At 40.4% G+C, this 27,547-nt stretch overlaps 1 protein-coding gene across 17 annotated transcripts in view, besides 2 other annotated features; it reads right to left on the bottom strand.

Annotated features, from left to right (window-relative positions):
• DENND5B (DENN domain containing 5B) overlaps positions 1–27,547 on the bottom strand; it is a 208,911-nt gene that overhangs the window by 163,072 nt on the left and 18,292 nt on the right. The window lies entirely within an intron of this gene.
• Positions 25,737–25,896: an enhancer, noted in NCBI's record as "active region_6167". NCBI's record gives its function as "activates an Ori minimal core promoter by ATAC-STARR-seq in GM12878 lymphoblastoid cells {active_cell/tissue: GM12878}" and the evidence as "EXISTENCE:reporter gene assay evidence [ECO:0000049][PMID:35858748]".
• Positions 26,083–26,583: an enhancer, noted in NCBI's record as "H3K4me1 hESC enhancer chr12:31724314-31724814 (GRCh37/hg19 assembly coordinates)". NCBI's record gives its function as "activates a minimal SCP1, AML or CMV promoter by ChIP-STARR-seq in primed H9 embryonic stem cells {active_cell/tissue: H9 hESC(primed)}" and the evidence as "EXISTENCE:reporter gene assay evidence [ECO:0000049][PMID:30033119]".

Consider the following 27,547-nt stretch of genomic DNA (forward strand, 5'->3'; position numbering starts at 1 on the left):
TTGTATAATGCTGAGGTTTGGGGTACAAATGTTCCCACGTCACCCAAGTATTGAATATAATACCCGTTTTTCAACCATTCCCCTCCTTCCTTTCTCCTCCATCTAATAGTCCCCAGTTTCTGTTGTTGCCATCTTTATGTCTATGAGTACCCAATGTTTAGCTTCCACTTACAAATGTGAACATGTGGTATTTGACAGCATGGTTTTAACAGTGAAAAATTATAAATGACAAAAGAATGTTAAGCAAATTAAGGCATACCCAGAATGTAATATTATACAGCCTCTAAAATGTATGTAGTAATGAAAAGGATATATAATAATGAAAAGTACATATTTCAAATGTTTAGTGAAAAATCAGGATAAAAGGATATATGGGCCAGGCGCGGTGGCTCACACCTGTAATCCCAGCACTTTGGGAGGCTAAGCCAGGTGGATGGCTTGAGCCCAAGAGTTTGACACCAGCCTGGGCAACACAGTGAAACCCATGTCTACAAAACAAAATAAAACAAACATTAGCCAGGTATGGTAGTACATGCCTGTAGTTCCAGCTACTCAAGAGGCTGAGGTGGGAGGATCACTCGAGATAGAGGTTGCAGTGAGTCAGGATCACAACACTGCACTCCAGTATGGGTGAGAGAGTAAGACACTGTCTCAAAAAAAAAAAAAAAAAAAAAGTGGGGGAATATGTAAGGTAACAAGAAAATCTACACAAAAGCTTTAAAAATGGAAAGGAAATACAGTGAAATATTAACACTGTATGGCTAGTGTTTGTACTTTCAAGTTATTTTTTCTTTGCTTTCTAGTTTTAATAACCAGGCATTTTCTGTGATTTTAAAAATTCTTTCTCAAATTAGAAACTATATATATATGCTATATATATGACCCATATAATAACAAATCTAGGTAAGTTGGCTTTATGTTACAGCATATTTGTTTTTCCCATTTCAAAATGTTATTTATTAAGCACGGTGTCGTTCTATAACCATTTTCTGAACATTTCCCCAAATCTTTACCAAAACAAAGCTCTCTTAAATTCTTTCTCCATTATATTTCTTTTCAACTCCTCCCTGAGTAATACATATTTAGTGGGAATAAAGTTTTTATTTTGGCCAGGTGCGGTGGCTCACACCTGTAATCCCAGCACTCTGGAAGGCTAAGGTGAGTGGATCACTTGAGGTCAGGAGTTCGAGACCAGCCTGACCAACATGGTGAAACCACATCTCTACTAAAAATACAAAAATTAGCCAGGCATGGTGGTACGCGCCTGTAATCCCAGCTCCTCAGGAGGCTGAGGCAGGAGAATCGCTTGAACCAGGAGGCAGATGTTGTAGTGAGCCGAGATCACGCCACTGCACTCCAGCCTGGGAGACAGAGCGAGACTCCATCTCAAAAAATTTTTATTTCCAAGAGTATAAAATTATTCTGCATTTAAAAGCAACATTATAACCCCACATCTAAAAGACCCAGGGAGGAGTGAAAAACATTTGTTGGAAGTGTACTTTCTGTATACTAAGTTTCCTTGTTCTATAAAAATATGGTAATATTTGTTTGATACATTCGACAACCGCAACCAAAATTTATTTTGAGTTTACAGTCCGCAACATGAATTTCTAAAAATATCATACTAACATTCAAGTTTAATTGGCACAGACATATCTGCTATGTTTAACAGAAACAAAGAGTCACACATGGGGAATGACAGTTCTGAGTTTTTCTCTCTTTCCAGCAAATATGCTTCATTAGCCATTACGCTTTTTTCCTCTAGAGTTTCTCTGAGGTCACTGCCATGTTGCTTCCTATCAGACAAGTTAACACTGAGGAACCTGTGCCTGTGTGCAATCTCAGCAGATTTGCACTTATTGTTGTGTTACTTTTCTTTTTTTTACATACACATTGTTAAACATATATCTAAGGCCAGAGAAAAAGGGAAAAGTATAATGAACTCCCATGTACTCACTACCCAGCTTCAATAATTATCAATAGTTTACTATTCTTGTTTTATCTACTCCCCTCCCAACTTTTTAAGACAGGGAGCAGGCATTGAAGTATTTTAAAAGAAATCTTAGACATGATTAGATGAAAATTTCCGGCTAGCAAACTAAAAAGTTTTTTGTTTTGTTTTTGAGACAGAGTCTCGGTCACCCAGGCTGGAGTGCAGTGGCACAATCTTGGCTCACTGCAACCTCTGCCTCCTGGGTTCAAGCGATTCTCCTGCCTCAGCCTCCTGAGTAGCTGGAACTACAGACACATGCCACCAAGCTGGCTAATTTTTGTATTTTTAGTAGAGATGGGGTTTCATCATATTGGTCAGGCTGGTCTTGAAATTCTGACCTCGTGATCCACTCGCCCCACCTCCCAAAATGCTGGGATTACAGGCGTAAACCACTGCACCCGGCCTCAAACTAAAAAGTTTGTTTTGTTTTTTGAGACGGAGTTTTGCTCTGGTTGCCCAGGCTGGAGTGCAATGGTGCGATCTTGGTTCACTGCAACCTCTACCACCGGGTTCAAGCAATTCTCCTGCCTCAGCCTCCCAAGTAGCTGGGATTACAGGCACCTGCCACCAAGCCTGGTTACTTTTTTGTATTTTTAGTAGAGGCAGGGTTTCACCATGTTGGCCAGGCTGGTCTCAAACTCCTGACCTCAGGTGATCCACCAACCTCGGCTTCCCAAAGTGCTGGGACTGAAGGTGTGAGCCACCGCACCCAGCCTCTAAAAAGTTTTAAAGGCATTTGTCTTCTTTCGCTTAAAACGTAAGATATTAAAAATATTAAAATATTAAACTTAACATCTAATATAGTTCACATTAGAATCCAGCCAGGCACAGTGGGACACATTTGTAATCCCAGTGCTTTGGGAGGCCGAGGCAGGAGGATCACTTGAGCGCAGAAGTTCAAGACCAGCCTGGGCAACAAAGTGAAACCCCACCTCTACAAAAAAAGTTTTAAAAATTAGCCAGACATGGTGGCATATACCTATAGCCCCAGCTATTCGGAAAGCTGAGGTATAGGATCACCTGAGCCCAGGAGGTCAAGGCTGCCGTGAGCTGTGATCGCTCTACTGCACAGCAGCTTAGGCAACATCTGTCTCAAAAAACAAAAAAAAAAGAAGAAGAAAAAAAAAAGAATTTAAGCGACTCTCTCACCAGAAGCAGAACCCACAGTATCTAAGACCAGGTTCTTTTCCTGGCAAGACATACTGCCACTTTAAAAACTTGACTACATCACAAGACCTCTTGGACTCCTGAACCTAGTTCAATAAACAAATAAATGTTTAGATCATACTCGTTTTGTCAAACAACAATAAATAAATAAATTTCCTGTATAATTTTCAACTCATGAGAACCTGACATTTTCTCAAATGTTGTGTTATACACCAGAGCAGAATCTGTAAATTAATCAAACCTCTTCCTCCTTTGGGTAAAAGGACAGACCTTTCAACAAGTGTGCTTTCAAGGAGACCAATTTAATTAATTAATGGCTATGTATTTTTCTAAGGTCAGAACTACAGTCCCCATATGCAGAGAATATATTATTGGGTACAGCTGAAAACTGGTTCCTTTTGGCATAACATCAATAAACAGAGTACTACTGAAAGCCAAGGGTTTTTTTTCCTTTAGAGACTGGGTCTTGCTTTGTCAACCCAGGCTGGGGTGCAGTGGTACGATCATAGCTCACAGCAGCCTTGAACCCCTGAGCTCAAGTGATCCTCCTGCCTTAGCCTCCTGGGTAGCTCGGGGTACAGGCACCTGCCACTATACCTGGCTAATTCTTTAAAAATTTTTTTAGAGACACGAAGTCTCGCTTTGTTGTACACGCTGTTTCTGAATTCCTGGCTTCAGGTGATCCTTCCGAGTGGACCTCCCGAAGTGCTGGGATTACAGGCATGAGCCACCATGCCTGGCCAAGTTCATTTTTAAATTCTGACTTTAGTAAGAAAGTTTAGAAATGAGAGATAAAATGTAGCATCTGCCCCTATCAGCAATGATAACCAAGTCTTCTTGTTATCGTAAAACGGCACTGACTTTTTCCTTAATTCTAAGAAAAGGAATCCTGATTTTTTAAAAAATGTGCATAAAACTTAAGGTTACAATTTTTAAAATTATTCTGAAACAAATATTATTATTTTAATTACGCTATCTATATGGCTCTAATTTTCTATTCTTTAGAAAATTATTACTTTCTTGGGTCCTATGGGTTTCCATAAAAGGCCATTCTTTTTTTTTAATGTGACTATTTTTTTTAATTTTTATTTTTATTTTAAGTTCCAGGGTACAGGTGCAGGATATGCAGGTTTGTTACACAGGTAAATGTGTGCCATGGTGGTTTGCTGCACCTATCAACCCATCACCTAGGTATTAAGCCCAGTATGCACTAAATATATTTTTCCTAATGCTCTCTTCCCCCATCCCAACCTCCAACAGACCCCAGTGTGTGTTGTTCCCCTCCCTGTGTCCATGTGTTCTCACTATTCACCTCCCATTTGTAAGTGAGAATATGCAGTGTTTGGTTTTCTGCTCCTGTGTTAGTTTGCTGAGGATAATGGCTCCCAGGTCCCAGTCTATCATTGATGGGCATTTGGGTTGATTCCACGTCTTTGCTACTGCAGATAGTGCTTCAATGAACATACGCATGCATGCATCTTTGTAACAGGATGATTTATATTCCTTTGGGTATATACCCAGTAATGGGATTGTTGGGTCAAATGGTATTTCTGGTTCTAGATCTCTGAGGAATCATAAAAGGCCATTCTTTTTTTCTTTTTTTTTTAAATTTTATTATTATTATACTTTAAGTTTTAGGGTACATGTGCACAATGTGCAAGTTTCTTACATATGTATACATGTGCCATGCTGGTGTGCTGCACCCATTAACTCATCATTTAGCATTAGGTATATCTCCTAATGCTATCCCTCCCCCCTCCCCCCACCCCACAACAGTCCCCAGTGTGTGATGTTCCCCTTCCTGTGTCCATGTGTTCTCATTGTTCAATTCCCACCTATGAGTGAGAACATGTGGTGTTTGGTTTTTGGTCCTTGCAATAGTTTGCTGAGAACGATGGTTTCCAGTTTCATCCATGTCCCTACAAAGGACATGAACTCATCATTTTTTATGGCTGCATAGTATTCCATGGTGTATATGTGCCACATTTTCTTAATACAGTCTATCGTTCTTGGACATTTAGGTTGGTTCCAAGTCTTTGCTATTGTGAATAGTGCCACTATAAACATACGTGTGCATGTGTCTTTATAGCAGCATGATTTATAATCCTTTGGGTATATAGCCAGTAATGGGATGTCTGGGTCAAATGGTATTTCTAGTTCTAGATCCCTGAGGAATTGCCACACTGACTTCCACAATGGTTGAACTAGTTTACAGTCCCAAGAACAGTGTAAAAGTGTTCCTATTTCTCCACATCCTCTCCAGCACCTGTTGTTTCCTGACTTTTTAATGATCGCCATTCCAACTGGTGTGAGATGGTATCTCATTGCGGTTTTGATTTGCATTTCTCTGATGGCCAGTGATGATGAGCATTTTTTCATGTGTTTTTTTGGCTGCATAAATGTCTTCTTTTGAGAAGTGTCTGTTCATATCCTTCGCCCACTTGTTGATGGGGTTGTTTTTTTCTTGTAAATTTGTTTGAGTTCATTGTAGATTCTGGATATTAGCCCTTTGTCAGATGAGTAGGTTGCAAAAATTTTCTCCCATTTTGTAGGTTGCCTGTTCACTCTGATGGTAGTTTCTTTTGCTGTACAGAAGCTCTTTAGTTTCATTAGATCCCATTTGTCAATTTTGGCTTTTGTTGCCATTGCTTTTGGTGTTTTAGACATGAAGTCCTTGCCCATGCCTATGTCCTGAATGGTATTGCCTAGGTTTTCTTCTAGGGTTTTTATGGTTTTAGGTCTAACATTTAAGTCTTTAATCCATCTTGAATTAATTTTTGTAAAAGGTGTAAGGAAGGGATCCAGTTTCAGCTTTCCACATATGGCTAGCCAGTTTTCCCAGCACCATTTATTAAATAGGGAATCCTTTCCCCATTGCTTGTTTTTCTCAGGTTTGTCAAAGATCAGATAGTTGTAGATATGCGGCATTATTTCTGAGGGCTCTGCTCTGTTCCATTGATCTATATCTCTGTTTTGGTACCCGTACCATGCTGCTTTGGTTACTGTAGCCTTGTAGTATAGTTTGAAGTCAGGTAGCGTGATGCCTCCAGCTTTGTTCTTTTGGCTTAGGATTGACTCGGCGATGCAGGCTCTTTTTCTGGTTCCATATAAACTTTAAAGTAGTTTTTTCCAATTCTGTGAAGAAAGTCATTGGTTGCTTGATGGGGATGGCATTGAATCTATAAATTACCTTGGGCAGTATGGCCATTTTCACGATATTGATTCTTCCTACCCATGAGCATGGAATGTTCTTCCATTTGTTTGTATCTTCTTTTATTTCATTGAGCAGTGGTTTGTAGTTCTCCTTGAAGAGGCCCTTCACATCCCTTGTAAGTTGGATTCCTAGGTATTTTATTCTCTTTGAAGCAATTGTGAATGGGAGTTCACTCATGATTTGGCTTTCTGTTTGTCTGTTATTGGTGTAAAAGAATGCTTGTGATTTTTGCACATCGATTTTGTATCCTGAGACTTTGCTGAAGTTGCTTATCAGCTTAAGGAGATTTTGGGCTGAGACGATGGGGTTTTCTAGATAGACAATCATGTTGTCTGCAAACAGGGACAATTTGACTTCCTCTTTTCCTAATTGAATACCCTTTATTTCCTTCTCCTGCCTGATTGCCCTGGCCAGAACTTCCAACACTATGTTGAATAGGAGTCGTGAGAGAGGGCATCCCTGTCTTGTGCCTGTTTTCAAAGGGAATGCTTCCAGTTTTTGCCCATTCAGTATGATATTGGCTGTGGGTTGTCATAGATAGCTCTTATTATTTTGAGATACGTCCCATCAACACCTAATTTATAGAGAGTTTTTGGCATGAAGGGCTGCTGAATTTTGTCAAAGGCCTTTTCTGCATCTATTGAGATAATCATGTGGTTTTTGTCTTTGGTTCTGTTTATGTTGGATTACATTTATTGATTTGTGTATGTTGAACCAGCCTTGCATCCCAGGGATGAAGCCCACTTGATCATAGTGGATAAGCTTTTTGACGTGCTGCTGGATTTGGTTTGCCAGTATTTTATTGAGGATTTTTGCATCGATGTTCATCAAGGATATTGGTCTAAAATTCTCTTTTTTTGGTTGTGTCTCTGCCAGGCTTTGGTATCAGGATGATGCTGGCCTCATAAAAAGAGTTAGGGAGGATACCCTCTTTTTCTACTGATTGGAATAGTTTCAGAAGGAATGGTACCAGCTCCTCCTTGTACCTACCTCTGGTAGAATTTGGCTGTGAATCCATCTGGTCCTGGACTTTTTTTGGTTAGTAAGCTATTGATTATTGCCTCAATTTCAGAGCCTGTTATTGGTCTATTCAGAGATTCAACTTCTTCCTGGTTTAGTCTTGGGAGGATGTATGTGTCAAGGAATTTATCCGTTTCTTCTAGATTTTCTAGTTTATTTGCGTAGAGGTGTTTATAGTATCTCTGATGGTAGTTTGTATTTCTGTGGGATCGGTGGTGATATCCCCTTTATCATTTTTTATTGCGCCTATTTGATTCTTCTTTTCTTCTTTACTAGTCTTGCTAGCGGTCTGTCAATTTTGTTGATCTTTTCAAAAAACCAGGTCCTGGATTCATTAATTTTTTGAAGGGTTTTTTTGGTCTCTATTTCCTCCAGTTCTGCTCTGATCTTAGTTATTTCTTGCCTTCTGCTAGCTTTTGAATGTGTTTGCTCTTGCTTTTCTAGTTCTTTTAATTGTGATGTTAGGGTGTCAATTTTAGATCTTTCCTGCTTTCTCTTGTGGACATTTAGTGCTATAAATTTCCCTGTACACACTGCTTTGAATGTGTCCCAGAGATTCTGGTATGTTGTGTCTTTGTTCTCCTTGGTTTCAAGGAACATCTTTATTTCTGCCTTCATTTCATTATTTACCCAGTAGTCATTCAGGAGCAGGTTGTTCAGTTTCCATGTAGTTGAGTGTTTTTGAGTGAGTCTCTTAATCCTGAGTCCTAGTTTGATTGCACTGTGGTCTGAGAGACAGTTTGTTATAATTTCTGTTCTTTTACATTTGTTGAGGAGTGCTTTACTTCCAACTATGTAGTCAATTTTGGAGTAGGTGTGGTGTGGTGCTGCAAAGAATGTATATTCTGTTGATTTGGGGTGGAGAGTTCTGTAGATGTCTATTAGGTCCACTTGGTGCAGAGCTGAGTTCAATTCCTGGGTATCCTTGTTAACTTTCTGTGTCATTGATCTGTCTAATGTTGACAGTGGGGTGTTAAAGTCTCCCATTATTATTGTGTGGGAGTCTAAGTCACTTTGTAGGTCACTAAGGACTTGCTTTATGAATCTGGGTGCTCCTGTATTGGGTGCATATATATTTAGGATAGTTAACTCTTCTTGTTGAATTGATCCCTTTACCATTATGTAATGGCCTTCTTTGTCTCTTTTGATCTTTGTTGGTTTAAAGTTTGTTTTATCAGAGACTAGGATTGCAACCCCTGCCTTTTTTTGTTTTCCATTTGCTTGGTAGATCTTCCTCCATCCCTTTATTTTGAGCCTATGTATGTCTCTGCACGTGAGATGGGTTTCCTGAATACAGCACACTGATGGGTCTTGACTCTTTATCCAATTTGCCAGTCTGTGTCTTTTAATTGGAGCATTTAGCCCATTTACATTTAAAGTTAATATTGTTATGTGTGAATTTGATCCTGTCATTATGATGTTAGATGGTTATTTTGCTTGTTAGTTGATGCAGTTTCTTCCTAGCCTTGATGGTCTTTACAATTTGGCATGTTTTTGCAGTGGCTGGTACCGGTTGTTCCTTTCCATGTTTAGTGCTTCCTTCAGGAGCTCTTTTAGGGCAGGCCTGGTGGTGACAAAATCTCTCAGCATTTACTTGTCTGTAAAGTATTTTATTTCTCCTTCACTTATGAAGCTTAGTTTGGCTGGATATGATATTCTGGGTTGAAAATTCTTTTCTTTAAGAATGTTGAATATTGGCCCCCACTCTCTTCTGGCTTGTAGAATTTCTGCCAAGAGATCTGCTGTTAGTCTGATGGGCTTCCCTTTGTGGGTAACCCGACCTTTCTCTCTGGCTGCCCTTAACATTTTTTCCTTCATTTCAACTTTGGTGAATCTGACAATTATGTGTCTTGGAGTTGCTCTCTCGAGGAGTATCTTTGTCGCGTCCTCTGTATTTCCTGAATTTGAATGTTGGCCTGCCTTGCTAGATTGGGGAAGTTTTCCTATATCCTGCAGAGTGTTTTCCAACTTGGTTCCATTCTCCCCGTCACTTTCAGGTACACCAATCAGATGTAGATTTGGTCTTTTCACATAGTCCCATATTTCTTGGAGGCTTTGTTCACTTCTTTTTATTCTTTTTGCTCTAAACTTCTCTTCTCGCTTCACTTCATTCATTTCGTCTTCCATCACTGATACCCTTTCTGCCAGTTGATCACATTGGCTACTGAGGCTTCTGCATTCGTCACGTAGCTCTCGTGCCTTGGTTTTCAGCTCCATCAGGTCCTTTAAGGACTTCTCTGCATTGGTTATTCTAGTTATCCATTCATCTAATTTTTTTTCAAAGCTTTTAACTTCTTTGCCATTGGTTTGAACTTCCTCCTGTAGCTCAGAGTAGTTTGATCATCTGAAGCCTTCTTCTCTCAACTCGTCAGTCATTCTTTGTCCAGCTTTGTTCCGTTGCTGGTGAGGAGCTGCGTTCCTTTGGAGGAGGAGAGGCACTCTGATTTTTAGAGTTTCCAGTTTTTCTGCTGTTTTTTTCCCATCTTTGTGGTTTTATCTACCTTTGGACTTTGATGATGGTGACGTACAGATGGGTTTTTGGTGTGGATGTCCTTTCTGTTTGCTAGTTTTCCTTCTTACAGACAGGACCCTCAGCTGCAGGTCTGTTGGAGTTTGCTGGAGGTCCACTCCAGACCCTGTTTGCCTGGGTATCAGCAGCAGTGGCTGCAGAACAGCGGATATTGGTGAACCGCAGATGCTGCTGCCTGATCGTTCTTCTGGAAGTTTTGTCTCAGAGGAGTACCTGGCCGTGTGAGGTGTCAGTCCACCCCTACTGGGGGGTGCCTCCCAGTTAGGCTACTCGGGGGTCAGGGACCCACTTGAGGAGGCAGTCTGCCCGTTCTCAGATCTCAAGCTGCATGCTGGGAGAACCACTACTCTCTTCAAAGCTGTCAGAGAGGGACATTTAAGTCTGTAGAGGTTACTGCTGTCTTTTTGTCTGTGCCCTGCCCCCAGAGGTGGCGCCTACAGATGCAGGCAGGCCTCCTTGAGCTGTGGTGGGCTCCACCCAGTTCGAGCTTCCTGGCCGCTTTGTTTACCTAATCAAACAACTAACTTGGCAATGACAGGTGCCCCTCCCCCAGCCTCACTGCCACCTTGCAGTTTGATCTCGGACTGCTATGCTAGCAATGAGCGAGACTCCCTGGGAGTAGGACCCTCCGAGCCAGGTGCGGGATATAATCTCCTGGTGTGCCATTTTTTAAGCCCGTTGGAAAAGCACAATATTAGGGTGGGAGTGAGCCGATTTTCCAGGTGCCCTCTGTCACTGCTTTCTTTGACTAGGAAAGGGAATTCCCTGACCCCTTGCGCTTCCCGGGTGAGGTGATGCCTCGCCCTGCTTCGGCTTGCGCGTGGTGCGCTGCACCCACTGTCCTGCACCTACTGTCTGGCACTCCCCAGTGAGATGAACCCGGTACCTCAGTTGGAAATACAGAAATCACCCGTCTTCTGCGTTGCTCACAATGGGAGCTGTAGACTGGAGCTGTTCCTATTTGGCCATCTTGGCTCCTCCCCCCTTTTTTTTCTTTTTTTAAGATGCAGTCTCACTCTGTCACCCAGACTGGAGTGGAGCAGCATGACCTCGGCTCACTGCAACCTCCGCCTCCTGGGTTCAAACAGTTCTGTCTCAGCCTCCCAAGTAGCTGGGACTCCAGGCACCTGCCACCATGCCCAGCTAATTTTTGTATTTTTAGTAGAGATAGGGTTTCACATTGTTGGTCAGGCTGGTCTTGAACTCCCGACCTCAGCTGATTCACTTGCCTCGGCCTCCCAAAGTGCTGGGATTACAGGCGTGAGCCACCATGCCCAGCTAAAAGGCCATTCTTAATTTTCAAAAGAGAACTTTATGACATCTGGGAATTTCAGAGGCTTTGCAGAACAATATTAAGAAAACTACTGTTTGCTAGGCTTGAGGTCAGGAGTTCAAGACCAGCCTGGGCAACATAGCAAGACCCTATCTCTATTCTACTTTAAATAAAAAATAAAAATAGAAAACAAGAAAAGAAACCTATTGTTTACAGAATAAAGTGATTCTAGGTCTTTCAGTCAGGTCTGTTTTCTTAACAAAATACACACTGAAGTGTAAAAATACTGCCGAACTGTTTATATTCCTTCAAGAATACTAGCAGATGAGTAAATTGGCAATATGATTAAAAAAAAGAAATATGCATGCCTCTTGACCCAGCAGTTTCCTTAGAAATGTGACTTGAAGGAATCATTAAAAATGTGTGCAAAGATTTTCCCACTAGGAGGTTCTCCTCAATGCTGCTTAAAATAACAAAAAAATCAAAACAACCTCAGAATCTATAGTAAGAGAATCTGTAAATAAGGATATACCTGTAAATAAGGGTGTAAAGTACATGGTATTCTAGATAATGTAGATATAAAATGGAATTATCTCCACAATATATCATTGGGTTTAAACAGGTTAAGACAGCATCCATAATGATTTTACTACATATGATTAGTAAGACATTAAATACAAATATTAAAATCAAACAATATATATTAAAGTTAATTATACAGGCATAGAGAGTAGAGAGACATAATGGCTACTAAATGTATTAGTAGTTATCTCTAAACAGTTGAGTTGCTGTTCATTTTTACTTTCTTTACATTTTCCTGTATTGCTTAAATTTTCTATAAAATGCATATCAGAATTTAAAAATATAGTTATATTCATATTCATTTTTTTCTTTTTTCTTTTAAGACAGGGTCTCGCTCTGTCACCCAGGCTGGAGTGCAGTGGCATGCTCATGGCTCCCTGCAGCCTCAACCTCCTGGGCTCAACTGATCCTCCTCCCACCTCAGCCTCCCAAGTAGCTGGGATTACAGGTATGCACCAGCACACTAGGCTAATTTTTGTATTTGTTGTAGAAACAGGGTTTCACCATGTCACCCAGGCTGATCTCGAACTTTGTTTTTAAAGGCAAAAAGTAAACGTACAAATTCAAGGCATAAGGTGAATAGGAAGTTTAGCAATTGAAAAAAAATAACCTATCTGACTACTACCCTTTAGGTATTTTAGAGAGTAGGGAAAAGGAGAAGAGAGAAAAAGAAAGGGCTGAAACGTGGGAACAATATACAACCTATTAAAACCAGAGAAACTGGGGAGCTGTGGTGGCAAAAAAAAAAAAAAAAAAAAAAAGACACAGAAATGCTCACCACTTTAGCCACATCAAAACCAATGCAGGCAAGAAGCTGCTCTGAAGTCTCCCAACCCTTCAGCCAGGCATGGTAGTAGTCCCAGCTATTTTGGAGGCTGAGGCGAGAGGACTGGTTAAGCCCAGGAGTTTGAAGCTCCGGTGAGCTATGATCTCACCACTGCACTAAAGCCTGGGCAAAAGAGATCCCGTCTCTTAGAAAAAAAAGTCTAAAAACCCCAAACAAAAGCAATCGCATAGACTAGTCTTAGGAGTTCACTACCTTGATAACAGCGCTAGAGATACTCAGACACTGAGCCCTTTCTAAAATAATGTAGACGTGTATCAAAGACCAGACAGTTTTATTGTTCTTTTCAGCAATTCCTCATAGATGGTGTTCTTAATTTCCTTATACATATATGAATCAGAACCCACCCCCCAACCCCCTTGTTTTCTTTTTCCTGGGCTTGGAGCAAGAGGCAATTGCACTGGTGACTCTCCACAATGACATGAGTTCTCAGTTGTTCCATGAAAGATTATTACAGTGCAACTACAAGAACAGCACAATAAGAGAAATGGTTCTCACCTCTTTGATCTACAGAAACATGTAGACCTCCAGGGCTTAACAGAAAAATTTTCCTGGAACTCCTAAACTTTAGGCATAAGACCCAAATAACTTCATTCCTAGCCTTTTAGTTTGTACCCAGGTATCACAAACTTATTTACAAAGTTTATTCTGACCTATGCAAATAAAATTGGGCACTTTATTAAAACTTCTTTGAATCTATTACTCATGAATAAAACATGAAAAATACTCATACTGATGGATAACACTTTACACAACACTGAATCAACTCCCCTTTGCTTGCCTCCTCCTAAAGGACTGGCTTAATTTCAGTAGTAGAACCCAAACATGAATCAATCTCATGACTAAGCATTAACTATGCATCCATTTAGCAAATGAAAGTTTATTTTAGCATTTGAAATTCTGTGGTTCTTCAGGAATATAGCCAGATAAATGATTTTTACTAACAAATGCAACTAACACCATTTCATCTCCTCTCTAGGAATGACTGAAGACTCTTGACTATCATCTATTCAGCACCTGGAAGCATTACCTTTTTGTAATACGAAAAGAAAAACAGCTGAAAGAAAGAAAATATACTTGTCCCTTCAAATATAGATCATATAATCAAATACACCTTAATTCACTGGTAAATATGTCACTTGGAACATAAGTTCTAACCCCAGATGAAAAATGAAAAGTAAACTTTCTACCATCCTCGTACTGATAGAAAATTCTCATGGGAGAGTAGGGAAAAACAGTCAGTCTTCGGTCTATTTTAGTTAAACCTTCACATTAGTGGAGGAAACGATGAACTCATGGCAAATTAAGCTACCCTCCCTAAGTTATTTTTCCTCAACAAATCAAACTCAAAGACAAGCTTACAAAACTGGAAACACAGAATAAAAGAATAAAAGAGGACACTGTCTCCTATGCCATATTATAGTCCAGAATTAGTTAATCTAATTCAAAGTATTGGCAAGGATGTTCCATCAACTAGACCAGGTATTTATCATTCATTACCATGTACTGCTTAAGCATGTAAAGTAGCTGAAACACAAATATTTTGGAGTTATCTCCAGACAAAGAGTAAAAACACAAGAAAAATGTTAAAATCCTATTATGTTCAACCGCTGATGATTTTCAGAATTTACATCTTTAATTTTTATTAACATTAGGAAAGTTTTGCCTATACTGTTTAGCTTAATTAAAGTGTAATGGAAATGTAAGAATCTGACAGCACTTATTAATATCTGTTTAGCAATTATACACTTGAAGTTTAATCATGGATTTAAGAATTTCAATAAAATAGTGAAAGAAGAAATAAAAGAAAAAAGAAAAACAACAGTGAAAGAAATAGAATCAAGGCATTAATCCACCAAGAAAAGGGTTAGCTGTGTGTTCACTCTGACCTTGAGTCTATTACCACATGGAAATTTTTTAGGAATTTTACAACGGAAGGAAAAAAGGGAAGAAAAAAGAGATACTCTTAGTGCTGCTGCTGCCTTCCTTCTTTACTGTTCTATTCTCCATATATTCAAAAAATACTTAGTAATTTTTCCCCTAAAATGTTGTAAATGTGCTTACTGATCCAATCTTACTGTTAGAACATCCATGAACTATCCTTGGCCCTCTTCCTCTTCTCTATCCACATTCTCTCCCTTGGTGATCTTATCTAAACTCAAGGATTTAAATATTTTGCCTCCATAATGTATAATTCCAGCTCAGTCTTCTCTCTTAACTCCAGACTCATACGTCTAACTGCCTACTTGACCAGAATATCTTACAGGTGTCTCAAACTCAGAATGTCCAAAAATGGATTCCTGAGCTGTGCCAACCCTCCTCCAACCTATGCAACCCATACTATGGTATTCTCCAGTTAAGTTGATGGTAATTCCATTTTTCTTCAACTTACTGAAGTTTAAAACCTTTAGAGTCATCTTTGATTCATCCCCTTTCTCTCACACCCCGCCTTTTGATAACAAAATCCTATTGTTTCAATCTTCCAAATATGTCCAGAAATTGACTACATCTCACTATCTCCACTGCTACTATGTGGCCTGAGCCACCACCATCATCCCTTACTTAAATTACTGCAGGCTTCCCAACAGATCTTCCTGCTTCTACCCTTGAACCTCCCTGCATACACACACACAATTTAGTCTTAATACAGCTAGCTGCCAGGATGATCCTTTTAAAACTAAGTCAGAGGTCTCTCTACCCTGTTCAAATCAGGCAATGGCTCCCCCCATTCTCTTAGAGTAAAAACCAAAGTCCTTTCAACAACATAAGGCCCTTCATGATGGGGCCTCCTGTGGCTTCCCCTTCTATTATTCATTCCTCTTGTTCACTCCTCCAGACTCTTTAGGGTTACTCGAACTCACCAGGTGACCGCTTGATGTTTACTTTGGGATACTTTTCCCAAATATCTACTTGGCTAACTCCCTTACTTTCTTAAGTCTTTGTTCAAAGATCACCTCTCAGTGAGGGCTACCCTGAACACCTTGTTTAATATTGCAACCAGCTCCTTTACTACCAAAAAGAGAGAGTAAACTATGCTTAGTGAGCTCATTTCACCTAGCAGAGACCGTGGAAGAAAGTACTAAGATCAGAGGGAGTATTCTTACGAGAAAATAGAATAGGAGATTTGCTGGAACCTTTGTCAAGATCCCAGTTATGTTCAGGGATTTAAAAAGAGAACTCCGTATGTAAGGGATGAAGAAAAGAGGAGATCAGTTACCAAAAAGGATCTATACTCAGGATCTGTCCGAGTCACAGATACACAGCTGCACCATACTCATGTACGCATCTCAAGGGGGCAAAGCCCGCAATTTAAAGCACAGCAAAGCATTTCCTTATCCACATATCGCAAAAGAGAAACAGCAAGAAAATATATCCCAGCTCAAGCATAGCATACACAAATACATTTCACAATAATTTCCTAAGCCAAGCGTGGTGGCACACACCTATAATTCCAGCTACTTGAGAGGCTGAGGAGGAAGGATCACCTGAGCCCGGAAGTTCAAGAACAGTCTGGGCAACATAGTGAGACCCTGTCTCAAATAATAATAATAACAACAACAACAATTTATGCTCCACATGCCTGCAACAGTTCATCTCTAGGAAAAGGGGCTTACTTGAGACTTGATGCTTACGTTTAAAATATATATATACATATTTTGAAACCTGATTAGCCAACATCTAACCACCTCAATTTATAGTAAAGAGGACTCCTAAAACTCAAACCTGTTTAGCATAACATAAAGTGACAAATAGAAAACATTGCCATTTCCAGGAAGAACAAAAAATCAATAATTTATTCAAACATACATTGAGCGCCTACTATTTGTCAGGCCTGTGACAGGAGCTAGTATGGCATTAAGAGTGTAGTAACTACAGTCAAAATGAGGTATAAATATCAAACACATGAGCATTTTTTCCCTTTGTAATAGATTCATCAATCATGCTGACAATGGCTATATATTCTGGAACTTTCTCCGTAAGTTTAAGCCACATCATTCATTCAACAAAGTTGCAGTGAGCATCTATTAAGTGCAAGCACTGTAGTAGATGCTGAAGGACTACAAATATAAATAAATAACAGGTTACATTAATTGGGTACTTCCCATATACCCCAGACTCTGTACATTATCTCATTCATCAACTTAGCCACCATTATAAATTAAATACTTCCCTATTTTAGAGATGATAAACTATTATGCTAAACTGTTTCCCTCAAGTAGCTTCAAGTCTAGAAGTCAGAAAGACATGCTTAGAAATCATATTAATACTATCTGGCCAGCCCTACCTCATTACCACCCAAAAGTCCAATAAATAAAAATGGCAATTTATGTACCCACAGGTAAAGAGTACACACATTTCATACTACAGAATTGCTTTCTAAAGGATAAATTTAAATTAAAATAAATGGGCCGGGCGCAGCAGCTCATGCCTATAATCCCAGCACGTTGGGAGGCCGAGGCAGGCGGATCACCTGAGATCAGGAGTTCCAAGACCATCCTGACCAACATGGAGAAACCCCATCTCTAATACAAATACAAAATTAGCTGGGCGTGGTGGCGGGCACCTATAATTCCAGCTACCAGGTAGGGAGGCTAAGGCAGGAGAATCAGTTGAACCCGGGAGGTGGAGGTTGCGGTGAGCCGAGATCGCACCATTGCGCGCCAGCCTGGGCAACAAAGGCGAAACTCTGTCTTTAAAAAAAAAAATGAAATAAAATAAAATAAAATAAAAGGCTTGTAGTTGTATACGATCTGTGTAATGATAGCAGTTTTGTAAGAAAAATAAAATGAAAGCAAATAATAGATAATGAAAGCAACCAATGACTAATTTCTAGCTTCTTCCTTTCTAATCTAAAAAAGCTGCTCTGTAATAACTTTAATTACTTCAGTGACAAGACTTCTAATTCTGTCCAACTCATTTCTTCCTAACACATGGGAACAAAACCAGGTGACTTGTACAAAATGAAACTATTTAAGTATTCATCTATAAACTGCTTTCCTTTTTCCTTTTTTTTTTTTTTTAACAAATTCTAAATACTTACGTAGATAAGGCTTCCTCTGCCCCTAAGCAAACTTTCTGCACAATAACTGCACCTAGCTTGGTGAGACAGATGGAGAGCCTGCAAAGTCTACAAACTTTTTGTTTAAAAGGTGGCAAATGAGTTCTACTGACCATCAAAGTCAGCTAGGTTTCTGGGAAGCACTGACCCTGGGGCCATGTTTTTTCACCTTGCAAAGCCAAAGCAGACAATGGAGTCAAAGCTAAAAGAAGAGAAGCCAAAGGAAGACTGGACTTAAACATGAAAATCCGTATCATACAAATTTATAACACAAACAGCCCACCTTTTTCAACACCGCCATCACAGTGTTAATCTACAAAAAATGGAAAGACTGATCCTACTCTTTCTAAAATCTAAATCTATCACTCAACTAGGTAAAATCTCAGCATTTTTTAATGAACTCCAACTGCTAACCTCCTTTGGGGGTAAAAACAAAAACAAAAACTGAGGATTCCATTCCTGTGTAAAGCAGAGAGTTAATGTAAGAAGATCATACTTTAATTGTAAAGACAAAGCAGCAAAGTTTCTTCCTAAAACAGAAGCAGGAACACCTAAGTGAACTCAAGTTACTATTCAGTGCAAAAAGCAGTCTTACGAACTTTGAGTTTGTAAGACCAATTTTCAGAAACATTTTTGAATCCTAGATAAACCTACTATCAATGATCTGAAGATAATTTAATTTTTAAAAATAAAAGGATTATTTACTGTCTCTCTTCATCTACTTCCTAAATGATTTCAAGAGATCTCTTGGAAACCAATAAGAAACATGCAAATGCCTTTTGCAAATAAAAAAATTTAAGTCAACTTTTAATCATATGCTCTCTAAATTTAAAAAAAACTTCTTTAATGAAAGTGGGCCGGTTGTGGTGGCTCATCCTTGTAATCCCAGCACTTTGGGAGGCTGAGGTGAGTGGATCACTTGAAGTCAGGAGTTCAAGACCAGCCTGGCCAATGTGGTGAAACACCATCTCTACCAAAAATATAAAAATTAGCTGAGCATGGTAGTGCATGCCTGTAATCCCAGCTACTAGGGAGGCTGAGGCAGGAGAACTGCTTAAGCCCAGAGGGGCAGAAGTTGCAATGAGCCAGAATCACACCACTGCACTCCAGCCTGGGCAACAGAGCAAGTCTCCAGCTCAAAAAAGAAAAGAAAATGAATGTTACTATTTAATGACTAGAATAGATTCATAATTCAGAGATAAAATATTATATATATACACATTAAAGCATAATAAAATGTAGTGATTAGCCATTATTTGTAAGTGAATTTGAGTATCCATAAACTTTACCTTGAGTATCTACTCTTTATTGATTACATCCTCAGCAACAAGAAACAAAACAAGAGCAACCCACTGCAACCATAGACTGGCTGCCAGAAGGTAAGAGTATGTGAGGATCTAGTGCAAACAAGGTAGGAACTGTTAAGAGTCCATGAATATTTCAGAAGAATAATGAAAAAGTGTGCCAGATGGGTTCACTTGCAGCTGGCTAACAACATTTCTGACCAAAGCCTAATGCTTCCTTACATAATTTATCATGCACTTTTCAGTTCCCTTCCACTACCACCCCTCTCTTTTCATTCTATTATTATTATTATTATTATTATTATTATTATTATTATTATTTTGAGACAGGGTCTGGCTCTGTCACCCAGTCTGGAGAGCAGTGGCGAGATCTCTGCTCACTGCAACCTCCAACTCCCAGGCTCAAGTGATCCTCCCACCTCAGCCTCCAGAGTAGCTGGGACTACAGGTAGGCACCACCTCCCTTTGCTAATTTTTGTATTTTTTTTAGAGACAGGGTTTTGCCATGTTGCCCAGGCTGGTCTCACACTCCTAGCCTCAAGTGATCCTCCCACCTCTGCCTCCCTAAGTGCTAGATTACAGGTGTGAGCCACCACAACCAGCCCATGCCATACTGCAATTCTAAAGATAGCAGATTGTATTATTTCCTTCAGCGGAGATGGCATCAAAATCCTGCACACTACTATTGCTTTAGTATGCTCTACTTAAAACCACTGCTGAAGATTATAGATCCTAACAGATTTAATCAATGTGGCAGTCAGCCTCAAGATGACCCTCAATGATTCTTGGTTCCTGGTATTCACAACCTTGCCAATTCGACTACTGCATCTATTAAGGGATTAGCTGGGCACAGTGGCTCATGCCTGTAATCCCAGCACTTTCAGAGGCCAAGGCAGGTGGCTCACTTGAGACCAGCCTGGGCAACATGGCAAAACTCTGTCTCCACAAAAAAATAAAAAAACCAGCTAGGTGTGCCGGCACACACCTGTAGTCCCAACTACTTGGGAGACTAGGATAGAAAGATCGCTTGAGCCCAGGAGGCAGAGGTTGCAGTGAGCTGAGATCATCTCACAAAAAAACGAAAGAAAAGAAAGGAGTAAATCTATTGAGTCCTTTTACACTCACGTTGAGTCCTGTTAAGCAATTTATACATCTTGCTTATGTGGATGCCTCTGGTCGCTTACACGTAGATAGTCTACTCCTAAAACAGATGCACAACCAACAAAATCTGTAATTTTCATGCATAAAAGGCCCAAAGTTAGTCTTGTTTTCATTTAGAATGTGATTTAGGTTAACATATAATAGGTTTATTAATGTTCCTTTTAAGTATATAAATGCCCTGCTCTCTATCAGATTTAAAAGGTGGGCTCTTTTACACATGAGAATGATTAAGTTTCTCTGAGACTGTTCTCTATAGTTAAAGGGGCCTGGATTTGGACCCAGAAGAATCTCTGTTGTGGTTCTAATTCTGCCACTAGCAATGCAAACTTAGGTAATTCATTTAACGTCTCTAAACATGATTGCCAGCTGCAAACTAGGGACCATATTTGACTGGCTATAAAAACTAAAAAATAGTGGCCTGGCACAGAGGTTCACACCTGTAATCCCAGCACTTTGGGAGGCTAGGGCAGGTGGATTGCTTGAACCCAGGAGTTTGAGACCAGCCTGGGCAACATGGTAAAGCCCCATCTCTAGAAAAAAAAATATAAAAATTAGCTGGGCATGGTGGCATGCACCTGTAGTCCCAACTACTTGGGAGACTAGGGTGGAAGGATCGCTTGAACCCAGAAGGTGGAGATGGCAGTGAGCTGAGATCACACCACTACAGTGAAGCCTGGGTGACAGAAGTGAAACTCTTGTCTCAAAAAAAATTAAAAAATATAATTTGAAGCCAGTCATGGTGGTGCACACCTGTAGTTCCAGCAACTCAAGAGACTGAGGCAGGAGGATTGCTTGAGCCCAGGAGTTCGAGGCTATAGTGTGCTGTAATCACATCTGTGAATAGCTACTGCATTCCGGCCAGGGAAACATAGTGAGAACCTCTCTCTTAAAAACTGTGTGTGTGTGTGTGTGTGTGTGTGTGTGTGTAATTCAAGCAATACTTTTATTATTGTTATTAAATTAAGAGATTAAAAGGCAACATGGTAAAACAGATATATATATATTAAAATTAGGTGCATATTCTACGATAAAACATGTCATAGGCTGGGCCCAGTAGCTCATGCCTATAATCCCAGCACTTTGGGAGGCAGAGGTGGGAGGATCACTTGAGGCCAGGAGTTCAAGACGAGCAAGGGCCACATAGCAGGACCAGGTATCTACAATAATTTTTTAAAAATTTTTTAAAGAAAAAATATCTAAAGGAGAGTTCCAGGAATACCTTAAATTTCATCATCAAACTGCCCAAGGTTTAAACCAATTAATTATGATGATGAAAATGTGGCTAATATTTATTGTGCAATTACATCCTGCCAGGCTACATAGTAAGTACTATACAAGCATTATCAACCAATAGCAGGCAGTTCAACATCAGATTCTTCTATACAGCTAATTGGTAAACATTTTTCTATGGTAGTACCAGATGACTGGAACATTAGCTGGGTTCGGTGGAGTGTGCCTGTTCTACCAGCTACTTGGGAAGCTAAGGCAGGAGAACTGCTTGAGCCTGGGAGGCGGAGGTTAGAACCCAGTGCAAGCACTTGCAGACATTCAAACTGGTAAGCTATACAAATTCCACAATGTTAAAGAACACACAGTTTACTATCGCATGTATATTCCTATTGCAACACCTTATTTCAAAATAAAAATAATTTTCTTTTAGAGAGCCTATCCCTATTTGTTATTTAGGTTGACAAACCCAACATACAATAAAGTTGCCAAATTCATTAGCTGGGTGTGGTGGCACGTGGGTGTAGTCCCAGCTATTTGGAAAGCTGAGGTGGGAGGATCACCTGAGCCCAGGAGATGGAGGCTGCAGTGAGCTGTGATAGCATCACTGCACTCCAGCCTGTGTGCCAGAGCAAGACCTTGTCTCAAAAAAAAAAAAAGAAGTTGCCAAATTCAATTTACTTGTGTGTCCTATCTTTCCTATCCATCCCCCATCTTCTTTACTCCCACCACTACTATTCTAATTCAGAATGTTGCCTTCTAATTTGTCTTACAGAACAGCCTCCTCAGAGGTTGCAGTGAGCCAAGATCGTGCCACTGCACTCCAGCCTGGGCAACAGAGCAAGACTCTGTCTAAAAAAAAAAAAAAAAAAAAAGCATCCTAATTGGTTTCCCCACTTCAAATCTCGTCCCAGTTTAATTCCATGCTATATCCTCCATCCAGAGTGATATTCCTAAGGCTACAGTTTTGAGCAAGCCACTCCTTTGTTCAAAACCTTTTAGGGTGGTGCATACCTGCAGTCCCAGCTACTTGGGAGGCTGAGGTGGGAGAACTGCTTGAGCCCAGGAGATTAAGGCTGCAGTGAGCTATGATCTCACCACTGCACTCCAGCCTAGGCAAACAGAGCAAGATTCCACCTCTTTAAAAAACAACAACAACAAAACACCTTTCAGTGGCTCTTTTCTATTTTTAGGGGGTTGTTTTGTTTTGTAGAGACAGGGTCTTGCTTTGTTGACCAGGCTAGTCATGAACTCCTGGGCTCAAGCCAAGCCATCCTCCCACCTCGGCCTTCCAAAGTACGGGATTACAGATGTGAGCCACCACAACTGGCCTCTTTTCTGTCCTTCAGAGGGCCATCTTTATAGTCTAGCATTCAACAAGTAGAGAATACAGGTTGAGCATCCCTAATCCAGAAATATGAAATGCTCCAAAATCTGAAATTTTTTGACTGCTAATGACACCACAAGTGGAAAATTCCATACCTGAACTAATGTGATGGGTACACAAAATCATTTAAAATACTGTATAAAATTACCTTCAGGCTACATGAATAAGGTACATATGAAATATAAGTGAATTTCATGTTTAGACTTAGGTCCCACCCTTAAGAAATCTCATTATGTATATGCAAATATTCCAAAATCTGAAAAAACACAAAATCCTAAATACTTTTGGTCTCAAATATTTTGGATAAGGGATACTCAACCTGTATTGGGAATGTTTCCCAGCAGCCACTTCCCTCCCTCTTCTACTGTGAACTAGCTATATAGTTTTCATCCCAAATTAGTCTCAGTAATCAGTTTAATCCCATTTTACTTGCCACACTGATTTGTTAAAGGACAGGCCACAGCAAACACCCATATTTTTGTTTCCTGACAGGAGTGAAGGCTAGAGGAGGAAAGTTAAATCTCTTCTAAGGAAGGTGTGATGTGCGAATACAAACTCTTAACTTCTGCTGCCACTTAATAACTCTGAGGGAAGCCACCAGAAGAGAAGTCAACAGTGCATAAAGGTTGCGCCTAAACAGCTGCAGTGAAATGAAGCTGGAGCCACGTTCAAATTACACCCTGAACACATGCCCCCAAAAACTCCTTTTAAATTTTGTGAACCAGCCAAATTCCTTTATCTCCTCTTTGACCTATAAACCACAGCATTCTAACTGATAGAGAACTCCAAAGGCTGATTCAACCTCTTTTCCCAAGTCATCTCCCACCACTTCATAAAATGTTGAAGTGGGCTAATCTATATTCCTCTTTGTTTTTGAGACAAGGGTCTGGTATGTTGCTCAGACTGGTCTTGAACTCCTGGGCTCAAGCAATCCTCCCACCTTAGCCTCCCAGGTAGCTAGGGTTACAGGTACATACATGCCACCACACCCAGCAACATACCTTTTTTTTTTTTTTTTTTTTTTTGAGACGAGGGTCTTACTGTGTCACCCAGGCTGGAGTACAGTGGTGAAATCTAGGCTCAATGAAATCTCCACCTTCCAGGCTCCGGTGGTCCTCCCACCTCAGCCTACCGAGTAGCTGGGACCACAGGCGCATACTGCCAACACCCAGCTAATTTTCTGTATTTTTGGTAGAGATGGAGTTTCACCATGCTGCGCAGGCTGGTCTCGAACTCCTGAGCTCAAGCAATTCACCTGCCTCCCAAAGTTCTGGGATTACAGGTATGAGCCACCACGCCTGGCCTACATACCTCTTTTATGTGTGTAACATATATATCTGGCTCTGGAAACAAAAAGTAGGAGCAGTGAGCTGGGCATAAATAGACCTTCTTTTCCACAATTTGCCCCCTTACATTATTTTGTGACTGTGTTATATTCTCCTCCCAAAAATTTTAAAGAGCCAATGCCAGCTGGGAGCGATGGCTCATGCCTATAATCCCAGTGCTTTGGGAGCCAGAGGCAGGCAGATCACTTGAGGCCAGGAGTTCAAGACCAGCCTGGCCAATGTGGTGAACCCTGTCTCTATTAAAAACACACAAAAAAATTAGCCGAGTATGGTGGTACATGCCTGTGATTCCAGCTACTCAAGAAGCTGAGGCAGTAGGATAGCTTGAGCCCAGGAGGCAGAGGTTGCAGTGAGCCATGATTGTGTCACTGCATTCCAGCCTGGGCAACAGAGTGAGACTCTGTCTCAAAAAATAACAGTTAAGAGCCACTGCCAGTCACAGTACACAGTACTTAGGAACAACTAAAATTCATCTCAATTCAACTCATTCTAAAAAATTACCAAAAAATGGCCTGGTGCGGTGGCTCATGCCTGTAATCCCAACACTTTGGGAGGCTGAGGCAGGCAGATCAAAAGGTCAGGAGATCGAGACCATCCTGGCTAACACGATGAAACCCCATCTCTACTAAAAATACAAAAAATTAGCTGGGCATGGTGGCGGGTGCCTGTAATCCCAGCTACTCAGGAGGCTGAGGCAGGAGAATCACTGGAACCCGGGAGGTGGAGGTTGCAGTGAGCCAAGATCGCCAACACTGCACTCCAGCCTGGGTGACACAGCAATACTCCATCTCAAAAACAAACAAACAAAAAAACCAAGAGAAAAAAATTATAAGCAATATATCTCCAGATAAGAACTAATCAAAATTCTCTCTCTTTTTTTTTTTTTTTAAGAGACGGAGTCTCACTCTGTTGCCCAGGCTGGAGTGCAGTGGCACGACTTTGGCTCACTACAAGCTCCGCCTCCTGGGTTCACCCACCATTCTCCTGCCTCAGCCTCCCGAGTGGCTGAGACTACAGGCGCCCGCCACCACACCCGGCTAATTTTTGTATTTTTAGTAGAGACAGGGTTTTACCATGTTAGCCAGGATGGTCTCGATCTCCTGACCTCGTGATCCACCCGCCTCGGCCTCCCAAAGTGCTGGGATTACAGGCGTGAGCCACTGCACCCAGCCAAAATTCTCTTTAAAAAAAAAAAAAAAGTTTTCTTTTTTTAGGAGTTTGGTTTCATTTACTCAAAAAGATTTTAGTAATTTTTTTTGGCACTGTCATTATTAACAAAAATCATATTCATTTTCAGTAAATTGATAGGTTTAAAGAAAATGAGAAATGCACATCTGTCCTTGCAGAAGTTTTCCCAATTACTGTGTAACTGTCCCTTCTTAGGTTATACCTTCTTAGGTTATCTCAAGGTCTTTGGTTGGTTGATTGGTCTAAACATTTGAAACTCACAGGTAGGTTTTGGCAGGAAACTCATTTACAGAAAGGGTGAGAAATGTTACCTCCCTTACAGCAACACAAACTGGGAATTTTAAAAGCAACAAAAGCCAAAACATAATAAGACAATCAAAAGATTGTCCCTGTTATCATTCTGCTGCATGAAAAGGGAAACTGCAAGCATTCTCCGCATTCTCGGCTGCAAGTGCCAGCACTGATCATGAAATGTTTACATAGCCCTTACTATGGGAGACAGGAAAGGAGCTGTGAAGGACAAGTGTCAGATCTGCTGCTGCTGCTTCAAGACTCAGCCTCCCTGAAACATCACTCTTTCTTAGCAACCTGCAGGGAGACAACCAGATTTTTCCATCAGAGGTTTCTTATACCGTCTAAACATATTTTCATTCTACGTGACAACACACAAATCGGACCAGTAAGATAGAGATCAAGAGTTTATCTTGTCACTGAGTTGCCTCTTCTGCTAACTAGCTTCTTCCTGTCTTCCCATCTTATTTGTCACTAGTGTTTTCCCCTTTCCATAGAAAAAAAAATTTTAATAGATTATTTTAGCATTAAGCAACTGAGTGAGATTCAAAGCTACTCTTTCTTTTCTCATTTCACTTTAATTACTAATTGTAGAAAGGATTTGGGTTTAAAAAAAAAAAGTTGCAAGAACTACGGATTTAATTTCTATCTCTCAAAAGTAAACACCTGAATTAGAAAACTCCATTTTATCCATTCACTCTTTCTTTTTTAGAAAAATAATTTAAAAGCCACAATTTTTTTTTTTGTTTTTTTGAGACGGAGTTTCACTCATTGCCCAGGCTGGAGTGCCATGGCACGTTCTCGGCTCACTGCAACCTCCACCTCTCGGGCTCAAGCGATTCTCCTGCCTCAACCTCCTGAGTAGCTGGGGAGCCACCACGCCCGGCTAATTTTTGTGTATTTTTAGTAGAGACAGGGTTTCACCATGTTGGCCAGGCTGGTCTCAAACTCCTGACCTCAGGTGATCTGCCCGCTTTGACCTCTTAAAGTGCTGGGATTACAGGCGAGAGCCACCGTACCCAGCCAAAAGCTACAATTTTTTAAAAGCACATATTGCCAGGCCAGGTGCAGTGGCTCATGCCTGTAATCTCAGCACTTTGGGAGGCCAGCGCAGGTGGATCATGTGAGGTCGGGAGCTCAAGACCAGCCTGACCAACATGGAAAAACCCCATCCCAACTAAAAATACAAAATTAGCCAGGTGTGGTGGCGCATGCCTGTAATCCCAGCTACTTGGGAGGCTGAAGCAGGAGAATCCCTTGAGCCCAGGAGGTGGAGGTTGTGGTGAGCCGAGATCACAACACTGCACTCCAGCCTGGGCAACAAGAGCGAAACTCTGTCTCAAAAAAAAAAAGAAAAAAAGGCACATAAAGCACATATTGCCTTTTGTTATTTCAAAACAATCATTTTATTTACCCTCACTCATTGTTAAGTAGCAAGAATGCCCCCACGCAAACCAAAGTCCTACAGCTTCATTGTTACAAATCTTTCTGATGGTGCGTAAAACAGACATTCCTCAGAAAGTCCTATTAAAAAATGTCTGAAACAAAGCAAATACTTAATTTTCTGGATAATCTTGAAGATAGGATGTAAAACAATAACAAAATAAATATCAAATCCCCAAGCCCTTATTTTTGTCACTAATTTTACTCTTTCTCAAAAAAAAAAAAAAAAAAAAACTCACGAGTTATTAACACATAGCCAATGAAATCAGTCTCCTTTTCTCTGTCCTTGTTTCTCTTCCTACTCTATTTTAGGCATCTGAAAAAGTATCTAAAAGGTGTTATCTAAAAAGTGCTTATTATAAGAAGGTTAAAGCACTGATTCTCTCTGAAAAAAATCTCCTGCTCTTGTATGACACCCTCTAATTCTGGATTTTAACTTCTCATACCTAGAGACAACAAATAGGGAATAAACAGTTGAATCTCTCTTGGATTTCCTTATCCTAGAAAGCTCTAATTGT

The sequence above is a fragment of the Homo sapiens genome, chromosome 12, assembly GCF_000001405.40.
Source record: "Homo sapiens chromosome 12, GRCh38.p14 Primary Assembly".
NCBI classification, from domain to species: Eukaryota; Metazoa; Chordata; class Mammalia; order Primates; family Hominidae; genus Homo; species Homo sapiens.